This window comes from Homo sapiens, chromosome 2 (assembly GCF_000001405.40).
Source record: "Homo sapiens chromosome 2, GRCh38.p14 Primary Assembly".
Lineage (NCBI taxonomy): Eukaryota > Metazoa > Chordata > Mammalia > Primates > Hominidae > Homo > Homo sapiens.
This window is the reverse complement of record NC_000002.12, coordinates 146,549,731-146,562,232: the sequence shown is the minus strand read 5'-3', so window position 1 is coordinate 146,562,232 and position 12,502 is coordinate 146,549,731. Positions and strand designations below refer to the sequence as shown.

Below are 12,502 nucleotides of genomic sequence, written 5' to 3'. Positions count from 1 at the left end.
GCAGTAATCTGGCCATTTATCTGGGTGTCTAAACCCCAATTTATTTAAATTTGCCTGGAGTTGCCTGTGAGCTAAGGAAATCCCAGGAGGCCCACCTCCAGAGCTGAATGTCTCTGTCCTCTTTCAGACCTCTCTGCCCTAGAGAAGGATGCTGGTTATCACTTTCAATTTGAATTTTCACTAATCTGCAATTTTTATGAAACCTCAAAATACATATATTAAATATTGCTGTAAACATTTTAAAGACAATGTTGGTAGAATAATTTTATCTGCAGTGTTAGCAAAATGCTTTTTAATAGAGAGCCAGTATTACTTCATCTTAAATAGATTTCTTCTCCTTAAAAAAAACAAAATATTCTGACTTTAAAAGAAAAGATCAAGGCAGGGCGTGGTGGCTCACTCCTGTAATTGCAGCACTTTGGGAGGCTGAAGCGGGAGGATTGCCTAAGCTCACGAGTTGGAGACCAGCCTGGGCAAAACGGTGAAACCCCATCTCTACTAAAATACAAAAAATTAGCCAGGCATGGTGGCGTGAGCCTGTAATCCCATCTACTGGGGAGGCTGAGACAGGAGAATCACTTGAACCTGGGAGACGGAGGTTGCAGTGAGCTGAGATCATGCCACTGCACTTCAGTCTAGGTGACAGAGCAAGACTCCATCTTAAAAAAAAAAAAAAAAGATCAAAACAATCTTTGAACATGTTAAATGCAATATGGTAAAATTTTTTTGGTAAAGATTTCTAAGTGGAAAATTGTAAACCAGAGGGTTCTTCAATTGAAAAACAGCCATATCTTTCAAAAAGCATCCTTCCTATATGTAAAACAAAGTGTCTTCTGTTTGCCTTTGGATCACTCATATTAACAAAGCATTCTGTATTGGTGAGATTCTTTGATGACTGACACTTTTCTGTTATGTTTCTAAAGGCCTTTTCCTTCACACAATATTTTGCAAAACTCATTAATATACTTATAAAGTTTTTAAAAAATTATTATAAACAACTCTGGAATTTGTAAATAAGGTAAAAGAATTAAATGCTCACTAGGAAGCATATTGAAAAAAAATTTTTTTAATTTAGTTTGAATAACAATCTTATTCCCATAGTGGCTGGAATCCTTCCTTGAATTTTTTTATTTTGTCACTGTTTCTTCTCTATCTCTTATAATTCTGCATCTCATAATTCCCTGATTTTTGTGTTTCTTCCTTCTACTGTTTCTATTTCTAATCAAAATAACTTAAATGTTCATGTAAGGGACTTTACGGCTGAGGGCGGTGGCTCACGTCTGTAATCCCAGCACTTTGGGAGGCCGAAGCAGGCGATCACCTGAGGTCAGGAGTTCGAAACCAGCTTGGCCAACATGGTGAAACCCCATGTCTACTAAAAATACAAATATTAGCCTGGTGTACTGGCATGAGCCTGTAATTCCAGCTACTCGGGAGGCTGAGGCAGCAGAATCGCTTGAACCCGGCCCGGGAGGCAGAGGTTGCAGTAAGCTGAGATCGCGCCACTGCACTCCAGCCTGGGAGACAGAACAAGACTCCATCTCAAAAAAAAAAAAAGGGGGGACTTCACTTATATTGCTATAGGCTCCTTATAAAGAGTCTAGTAATAAGGTTTTCTGAATCAAGATGAATGTATTTTATTTGAAAGCCACTCTCACCCACTTCTAGTTCAATGATTTTGCACAGGGTTGATAAAAAATGTGACAGTGCAGAGGTATCCTATCTGAAGTCTCTGTTCTCATTTGTCACTTTGTGGAAGTAGAAGTTGGCTGCAAAGTATTCACCAAGCCACAGCTATTGTTGTCTTACTTAATCGATTCTTCCTCATCAACATAAGTAATTGAGGAACTATCAGGGAAATATTGTAACCTATGTTTCTTGGATAAATTCTTTTCCGTTTTTGTACTCTAGACACATTGGCGTTCAGTTACTTCATGTCGTATCCAAGCTCAGGGCCTTTGCATATGGTGTTCTTTCTAGGTAGAATAATTCCTGCTTAATTTTTATTGTGTCAATTGTTGCTAATTTCACAAATCTCAGTTTAAATATGAGCTTCTTTTGAATGCCTCTTCTAACTACCCAGAATTGGTAGGTTTTCCAAATAAACCTTACCAGAAAGAATGCATTTTTTTCTTAGCACTTACTACAATTCCAAGAATTCCAATTACAGAATTCTTTCTGTAAATCTTTCTATCATGTCTGCTTTTGCTGCTAACCTGAGAAATCCATCATGGCAAAGACTGTGTCTGACATGGTCATTGCTATACCTCTGGTACCTAGAGGAATGCTTGGAACATTGGAGTTGTACCATAATTATTTACTGGGAGAAAGAAGACTCAGGGGAAAGGGTGGGAGGGAGATGAGAGATAAAAGACTACAAACTGGGTTCTGTGTATAATGCTTAGGTGACGGGTGCACTAAAATCTCACAAATCACCACTAAAGAACTTACTTATGTAACCGAAAACCACCTGTTCCCCCAAAACCTATGGAAATAAAAATTTTTTTAAAAAGATAAAGTTATGAAAAAACTAATTATTTTTCAATTAACTTTTTAAAAAAACTGGTACATCAAAATTATTTTGAAAATATCCAAGAACTAGTCTTTTTTCATAAAGTCATAATTAGATAGTCTCTGAAGGAGTTGATGGAGCAACGAGATTATGGGAAAAGATGAGAGCCTCATATATACCACATTGGTATATAACAATGAAGAAGTAACTAACTCTCCTGGAACCAAGGTTTCAGACAAATGAAACATCACAGAGGCAATGATCAATATATATATTTGAAGTAAAATTTTGAGTTTGGTAGGCCTTTTGTTCATCCAACAGGTAATGAAATCACTGGGGAAAATCCTGCAGATTTAGAGAACTGAAGAAAATGTACCTCAACTATCTGCAATCTAAGGGACAAAACAGAATAAGGAAGGAATAAAATGGCAGAATGAACTATTAAATAAGTACAACACTGAAGATACAGTCAGAGTTCATGAGATTCCAGGTGGAATATGAAAGAAGAGAAGAAGTAAATTTGTGATGGTATGAATATACATGCACACACAGGTAAAGGAAAGAAGGTCAGATTGTGAATGTGTGCTAAGGAATTATGAAGTACATAACTTATGTTTTATTTTTGTTTACATTTGTTTTTCTGTAGGTAACTTTGAAGTCAATGAGGCAAATGGATGAAAGAGAGGAGGGAATGAGACCATGGTAACAGTAAGAGCCTACTGAAACAATTCAGGCAAGAGATGACCAAACTGTGCCTTGTGGTATTAGTTAGTAGATAAAATAAACAGAACAGGAAATATCCCCTAGATAATTGAAATGAACACTTTCAAATAGTTATTGTAGAATGACATGAAAAGTTTACTATAAGCAGTGTTTGAGATCTATAAAAATTAAAGTTATTAAACACCAATAAAGTGAAGGAATCTGAAACCTTCACGTTTCATTATGTGTCTGAAATTAAATGAAAATATCCTTCCACTTTCATTTTATCAGCAAAACAAGAGATGTAGAGAAGAATGGTTATAGCACAAACATATTTCTCTATTGTCTTTTTCCCCCCAAGGACAGTAAAGACACAGTGCTGTGCCCACATACTTTTGTGTGATTACATATCCTCAATTTATACTTAGGACTTTAAACACCAATGTGCTCATGGGGTGAAAAAGAACAAGTAGTGAAGCTATCACTCTGAATTCCCAGAATTTTTACTCTGAAATATCAGTTAGCAGTCACTTGGCGTGAATTCTCACTCTAAAACACCAGTTAGTAATCACTTGGCTTGAATTCAATATATATATTCTATTGTGTGTTGTGAAAAGCTACAGATAGGATTGATGACTTTTGGTACTAGAGTCATAAAAAAGTACTCAGTAATTTATATTATAAGCCCCCTTATTAATGGAAGGTTAGGAGAATGTTGTTTTGACAGTAGATAAAAGGTATTTTAGTGTGCATTTATGTTGTTCAGTTGGCCAATATTTGCTCATTTGGACTTTTAAAATAAGGATAAAGAACATTTTAAAAGCTAATGGTGTTCATATTTACTAGAAAGATTGGGAAATATAGCAACTATAAATAATAAAATATCATTTATAATCCCTCCATGCAAATATATCCTCAATTAATATTTACATTATAGCATATTTACTTTTAGTCACATATACATGAATATTTAATATGCTTGCAATCACACTGTCTATAATATTGTCTGTTTTGCTTTTATCATATTGTGAGAACACTTCAAAATTATAAAAATCTATTTGATTCTCATTTAATAGCCAATTAACATTCAAAATTATGACATGAGATTTGGATATATTAATTTGTAGCTAAGCCTGGAGATGTTTCCAAATACTTTTGGTAATGTAAAATAGTTCTTTGAGGTTCATTTTTCTATGTACAGTTCTCTTCTCAAATCTCAGATTATGTCTTTAAAATTGAAATTCTGACATAAAATTAAGTGAACTCTTAAAAATTTCTTGCTGTTTACTCCCAACGGGCATTCTAGAAAGTCTATAACAACATATAGTCTAACCAAGAGCTTAGTTAATTGAAATTATTATCTTTCCCTTTTTATAATTATTTGACTCTTAATACATTAATCATTTATTCTATGAATTGTTAGTTAATATCTCCTTAAGTAATATTATCTAAATGTGCTAATGCTTTAATGATAGGTTGAACCCCATTTTTACATTAAAAGTATTATCACCTTTTTATAGATAAAATTTCGTATTGTTTTAACTTCTGAAAAAGATAGAAGTGGCTGGGCACAGTGGCTCACACCTGTAATCCCAGCCCTTTGGGAGGCCACGGTGGGCGGATCACAAGGTCAGGACATCCGGACCATCCTGGCCAACATGGTGAAACCTCGACTCTACTAAAAATACAAAAAAAGATTAGCCGAGTGTGGTGGTGGGTGCCTGTAGTCTCAGCTACTCGGGAGGCTGAGGCAGGAGAATCGCTTGAACTCGGGAGGCGGAGGTTGCAGTGAGCCGAGATTGCACCACTGCACTGCAGTGAGCTGAGATCGTTCCACTGCACTCCAGCCTGGGGGCAGACGAAGACTCCGTCTCAAAAGAAAAAAAAAGACGGAAGTAGTTTTTTTCCCTGAAACTTTTGTTCCAAATGATAATACAGTATATTTGTTTCATAGAGAAGTTTGTGATATCTGCTTTGTATTTAAGTTTTAGTAAATATATCAAAATCTGTTTCTCTATGTCTGGCCCTGAGTGTAAATGATGGATGGAAATTAAATCTAGGTTAGAGTCAAACTCTATGTAAAAATCCAGTATGGTTGAATTGCTAGAAATCATGAGATTTTTGATTACTTATAAAGGCTTTCAAATTGATAAATCGTCTTTTTATAAAAAGGGTTCATAGTGTCCCACTTTATTTTGCTTTCTATGTGATAATTGGCAAAGTACTTTTTCCTCTATCTCAAGCTGAGTTTTGGGATCCAGAATCCAATCACAATATGCAAATGAATTTCAATTACCTACAAGTCTCGGCTAGGCACAGTGGTTTGAAACGGTCAGAAATTTGGGTTCAGAGAATCAAATGTCTCCACATTTGACATTGACACTTGGGAAGAATACCTGGCCATGGGAAGCATTGTTGGGCTTGAATGAAATGAGTTCAGTCAGTAATGCCTTCTACTGATGACCCTTGAGGAAGGAGTCTCCATGCAGTAAGTAATTTATTTCTCCCTTTTGTTTAAGGCCCTCTCCCACCCCCTACTTTGATGCCTCTCCAATTTCTGTATTTCCAGCTAAATAACCCAATAGCAATATAATCATTTACTTCTGAGTAGAAACTGTTTCTTTTAGAAGAGGCATGCATGAGCTCTTTTATTTGCCAGGTTGTGACAGATATTCCCTATTTGCTTCCCTACATTCACTTTCCGTCCTTCTCTACCTGGGAAGTGTATCTGCATGAATGACATCAACAAAGCTTCCATTCTTTTGATTTCCATTTGCTTTCAGCCAGTGGAGAAGTAAAAAGCAATGAAGAGTAGTTAGGATATTTATTTTCCTGGATGAACCCCATGTGAAATCACCAGCCTTAACTGAAGATTGCCTCATCTCAAGTGGTGGCTTCTTCTATGTGATTCTTGCTCCTTCCTGTTTTCAGTAAACTTTTCCTCCCCTAATCTCTTCAGTCCTCCATGTGCTAGTACTGCTACTGCTGCTAGTCCGAGGTTCACTGCATACTCCTTACCAATTAGCCATTATTTAATAATTACTGTTTTCTATTAATACTTAGTTTTTTCTTTTTTTGTAGATAAACCATATTAGTTATCTATTACTATGTAACAAATTACCTTAAAACTTCTGAGTTCAAAACAGATGAACAATTATCTCACAATTTTCTGTGGGTCAGGAATTTAGGAGTGGCTTAGCTGTGTAAGGTTGAGAGAGGACTCTCCATGAATCCCTCACATTTCTACATGTATTGAGAACCAAGACACTGATGACCTTTATTCAAGGCTATCTTTTCAAAGATATTTGTATAGTGATCTGCCTTGGAAGATAGCTATAAGATCTCTTACCTGAACCAAGGATAGCCATCTTTACTGTCCAGTATAAAATATTTAGGTTTCCTAGGCTCAAGATTCCTCTCTTATAATGCAATTCATTGTACGAGGTGTCACCTGGTCCTCTGTGGTGCCTATGGGAAGTGGGATTTGAACATGTGTGAGAACATGCTAACTCTCTGGCTATTGTTACTGCTGTGAATAAAAACTTATTTGGCTCTGACCCAGGAATCTTGTGTCTTCTGCTATAATCCATAAATATAGGGCAGGCTAACATATTAGCTGGCAATTACAGTAAAATCATAGACCCTCCAGAGTTCTTGACAGGTAGTCCTGGCTCAGGGTATCTCATGAGGTAGCAGTCAAGATGTTGGCAGCAACTGTAGTCATCTGAAGACTTGATTAGAGCTGGAGGATCTGCTTGCAGGTTGGCTTACTCACACAGCCGGCAAGTTCATGCTGCCTGTTGTTGGGAGGGCTTAGCCCTTGCCACATGGAACTCTCCATAGGCTAGTCTGAGTATTCTTACAACATGGCAGTTGGTTTCCCCAAAGTGAGTGACCTAAGAGAGGGCAAGATAGAAGACATGATGTCATTTATGATCTAGCCTCAAAAGTTACAGTGTCATATCCACAGGATCCTACTGGCTTCACTGGACAACCCTGGTCAATATAGGAGGTGAATATACAAGGATATGAATACCACCAGGTAAAGATCATTAAAGGCAACCTCGGAGGATGGCTACCACATGAACTCTTTCTCAAAATATCCTAATTTGTGTCTAACATCTCTTTCCTTAATGCTACTCTGACTCAAACTTCTTTACATGTACTGGTCACTGCTTAGCCCCTATAGGTATGTTTGTATTTGAATTTGCTCCCTGTGCTCTCTTACATTATCCATAAAGTAAGACACACCTGGGGTCAGTAATTCCATTTACAGAGGAAATGTGAAATTTAAAAGTTTAAATAATTTGGCCAAAATCTTGCACCCAGTATGAGACTAAAGAGACCCCAAATCTAGAACTCTTTTGAATATTCAAAACAGCTATTTGGGTAACAAATATAAAAATGAATTAAGAATGACAATCTTGGAATCTTCAGTAAACTGGATTAATATGTAGGAAACGTATAGGAATATGCCTACCAAAGAATTTTTTCTACTTCCTTACTAGAAGTTTTCTAAAATGTCCATTGTAAAAGTTATGTTGGAGGACCATTCGAGAAATTCTATATTTTGTCTTAATTAAGACATTTTATCAGAAAGACAATGTATTACCCAAGTCTTATGATAATAGTTTTAGAAATTGTTATTTAATAATATATTTATAATTGAGTGTAATCTCTAAACAAATATAGTCACCCAGAAGAAAGCTTGCACACACACAAACACACAAAGTTTCATTTTATTGAAGGAGTTTGAGAAAGTCTTGAGATCTCTATGATTTTCTGCAGTGAGGTTCTTGGATGATTTGGTACTATATTTGGAGGTGTCTAAAACAATGACAGTGACCATAAGAAATTCTATCTTCTTCACAAATTCGACTTGAATTGACCCTAATAGCAGAATGCACTGGTAATTCACTTTTTAATGAAAAAATGATGAACAGTTTTATCATTACTGTGTAAACAAACTTGGAAAGCTTTGAATTATTTCTTTTCTCTTACTGAAAGAAAAGTATTAGTCTACTGTAACAGTGTTATATTGTGGTTAGAAATATTCCGAGGCTAGAAATCTTATTTAAAAAATCCTCCCTTACAGTCTTTCAGTGAAAGTATATTTAGTCTTTGCCAGTGTTTCGAGCTGAAAAAGTTCATTTACATTTATCTTTTTTCACTCTTTTCTTTTAACTCATTCCTATAACAATTCTCTTTTCTGTAGCTTCCCTGACAGAAAAAGCTAAGAAGTTTTCAAATTCAATAAGCAAGATGGGAAGGAAGACATCTCTTAACTAAACCTCTATCAGGGAACTTCAGGTTTTTAGTGTATGGGAGGTCTTTAGAGCCATCAATCTGCTAAAGCAACTGACAACTTGGAGTGTTTTGATTGTACGTGTGATGTCCTGGATGTGGGCTAGTATTTTAGTGTAAAACAATTCTACTTTCTAGAGATTCCTCAGCCTATTCCGGAAGGATCAAAATTCAAAGTATCAGTACACTCTTTCTTTCAAGGTTTCCAAGAAGAGAGGGAGAAATAAACACATTGATATATTGCATACTTGCATCTCTTGGGTATGACATTAAAACACATTCTTTTGAACAACATTCAACATACTCTCAAAAAAAGCCCCCTACCTAAGACAAACAAACAAACAAAACATCCAGACTCTGCTGCCAGAGCTGCTGTTCAGGTTCAGTGTTCAGCCTCTGAATACTTACTTTTGGCAGTTGAGTGTGGATTATGCTAACAGATCACCAGATGGGGGGTTGTGGGACAAACTTTGGTAGAGTTGGAATCATGGATGCACTCACAGAATGTTCCTTTCCTCTCCTCTGCTAGCTGACTTTTGGTCTTCTCTTGCCAATTGTTGATGGTTCTGTGATTGGGCCAATGAGGACTTATTTTCCAGGATTATAGACTGGCTGTATCCCTCTTTCTTGGCTCTCTGTCTCTCCTCAATTTCCTTCCCGCACCTCCCCGCTGCTCCCCTCTCCTTTCCAACCCTCTCCTCTCTTGGTAGAGCTGAGCAAGAGAAGCCACAGTTCTCTTTGTCAGCCATCTTTAGAACACCAGAAGAAACAGCCATAGGTTGATGGAACAGAGAGATGAGAGAATTAAGCCCCTTGATGTTATCTTCAAGCCATTCTTCCTTCTCTGCTTTGACTTGCTCTAACTGTAAGCTGGGAACAGTTTGCTCATTACTGAAGCCACCCTGAATAGGGTTTCCTTTCATTGTAGCTAAAGCATCTACTCCGACACAGAGAGCACATGGGAACTAGAGAGGTAAGCAGAAGCACTAGTGGCCTGGCTGGGTATCCTCTGCAATGGATGTGGAGGTGAGAAAGCTGGGATAATACATAATCCATTGCAAGATACTGTGTATTCAAGACTATGTTTTAGAAAGATCAGTTTGTCAGCAGTGACTGAAAGAAAGGAATATGTTGGGAAAATAATTTTGGGGGAAAAAAATGTGTCTGTCCCGTGTTTTGGTGAATCTGCAACAGTAGATTTAATATTGTACTCTAGAAAGGCACAGCAGGGCCAGCCATTTGGCCCAGCTCCACTCAGGGGGGTCTTCTCTTATAAGTTTAATATATTTATATTATGTTTCTGAATGAGACTTTTCTTCAGGAAAATTTTCTCAAGGAAAATCTTGAGGTTTACATTCAAGTATATGCTTGAAAAGTGCTGTTTAGCAATAAGCATTTATTCTGTCACTGTTTTACAGTGAGCTCAATGAGTGCCCAAGAAATCACATATCTTATGTCACTCATTTCTGTCTACACCTGAGTTCTGGCAAAACCATCATTGCTTCTTGTCCCCATCTAGCCTATCATCACCACCCTTTCTGTGGGCAGATGAGGAAAAAGATATTGCCATTCTTCCATCTCTTTGTCTTCATTCTTCTCTCCAATGCCACTGAGAAAATGGGATACAACTTTGTCAACACGCAACACAGCTTTTCAACCTACATGTGTAGTCAAGCTATGTTTGTTTGGTTTTTTTCCAGGGATAAATTTGACTTTAAGATTTCAAATAGCTATTATCAGCTATTTGTCTTTCTTTTTTTCTCATTTTGAGCCCAAGAAGTTTATTTATTTGTTTGCATTTTGTTGTTGTTGTTGTGAGAATAGGTGAATAGCAGCTGTTCACTGTATCCAATCAAAATAGACTATTTTCTCTATTTCAATTAGCAAACTATCTGCCTAAATATAAAATAGTAATTGTAGCAGAAGCACCGACAGCAGCCTTGAGAATAAAACTAACAAAATATCTGCCCTTAACCCAGGATTTTTATATATATAACTCATTTGCTTTGGTAAAATAACTACTGGCAAAGCTGAACCTAAATAGCATTTCAGATGCATCCTAAACAGCTTGCCTGAAGACTGTAGCACACTGTGCTTATATACTTTCTGAAATCTATATTTTATTTTGTTTTGAAAAAGATTCGAGAATAGAATTATATTAGAACTAGTGGAGGCATGATCCATGCCCCCTTGATTATATTGAAACATTAAAATGTCATCAGCATGTTAATTTTGTCATCTCAACTGCATGAGATTTATTCAGCACTTCTATCTATTACATTACTCTGGAAACACAATTTATTCTGATTGTGGAAATGTCATAGGCAGCGACTAAAAACATCTGGAATTCTTAGTTTAGAAAGAATGTCTGGTTTCAAAAATGCTATTTCTAAATTAATTTTATCTATAAAGAAGGCAAGACTCAAAGATTTTTAAATTACTCAAATTGCAATATTCATTTGGCCTACCAATTTTAACATAGGAGGTCAAAAACCAAAAAAAGAAAAACAAAATTAGTGCATAAGTAATTATTTTAATGATTGGGAAAATAAAAGAGTCTCCAATGAAGGTTTAATTTCTGGAAAATAGAGTGACCTGGCTTTTTGTTTGTTTGTTTTTTCTCTTCATTAAAGCAAGAAAAGCTTGACTAAGCCTGTGACACATGTAGGAAGCTGAAACAAGGGTGGGAGATGGGTAATTAATCCCAAGAAGACAGAAGACACAGAATTGTCAAAATGGGACAAAGAAATGTGATTTTAGTTTTTATGTTTTACTTTTTCCTTTATTAAACTTGTAAACAGAGTACATTTGTCTGCTGCTTCTGAGGTGAAAGCAATTCCCCTGCTGAGGACTTGTCTACAGGGCAGTGGGGGAGAAAGGAAAGCAAACTTTGACTGCAGATAATTCAAAGATATTTTCAGTATGCATATTCACATTCTGTTATCTGGGATTTCTAAGTCCTGAAGACACTTAAGACTGAAATGAATGCCCTATTGGGGCTCAGAAAACATACCCCAAAATGAAGGGCTCAGCAGCAGCCTCAGAATAAAATGTTTTTCTCTGACCTTTTCCTCCCGTCCTGTCTCTCAGGCCCATTTTCTCCCAAGTCTAGCCATATAAACTAGAAACCCTCTTCCCAAAAGTGTATCATAAAAACCAGAACCACTTTTCCCCAAAGCCAGCCAAAAAACCTAAAAGTATTACTCTAACTTTCCCTCTTCCCTATCTGTGTAAAAACTGGCCTTAAAGAAACTATCTGACCTACCTTGTTTGACTGTAGGTTATAAGACTCCCATTCCAGAGAAGATCTTGTTCCATATATAGAAGGAAGAAATATATGCTCAGAGAGGCCAAGAAGAATCTAGACAGATAGGCTTGTGGGTTTCCTCACTCAGTCTTTAAATATTAGATCATACTCTTTTCCTCCAATATTGTTTCTACATGGCTGTCCATACATTGTAGAATTTAAGCATAAAAATGGAGAATTTTCCGTGTATCTTTGGTCTTCATTCTGAAGGTTCCCATGTATACATGTTAAATACATTTCTATGCCTTTACTCCTATTAATCTGCCTCATGTCAGTGGTTTTTTCAGTGAACCTTCACAGGGCCCTCAGCCCCTACAGCCCATTGGGTGGCAAAACTGCATCTGACCAAATGTGAGACTATTTATATTCTCCAGTTCATTTCTTGAAATATTCTCGATTTCACTGCAGACTTAACATAATGTGATTATTACAGGGTGCTGTCCCAAACCTCATTTAGTATGTTTTGTGAGGTTTTTTTTTTCCCCTAAGATTTGAAAAATTCTGAGTTCCAAAACATATCTGGTCCCAAAAGTTTCAGATAAAGGAGTGTGGATTCAGATAAAGGATTAGTAAATTTTAGAGGTCCCCAAAGAAGGATGTTGTGATGGTTAATACTGAGTGTCAACTCAATTGGATTGAAGGATACAAAGTATTGATCTTGGGCTTGTCTGTTAGGG

General features: G+C 36.6%; 1 long non-coding RNA gene across 1 annotated transcript in view; it reads left to right on the top strand.

Moving 5' to 3' along the window:
* Nucleotides 1-6,771, top strand: part of LOC124907895 (uncharacterized) — a 36,037-nt gene extending 29,266 nt beyond the window's left edge. Inside the window, exon 2 of the long non-coding RNA XR_007087254.1 lies at nt 3,159-6,771. This is a non-coding gene — a long non-coding RNA (uncharacterized LOC124907895). The remainder of the gene's footprint in view (nt 1-3,158) is intronic.
* The last annotated feature ends 5,731 nt before the right edge of the window (nt 6,772-12,502 follow it).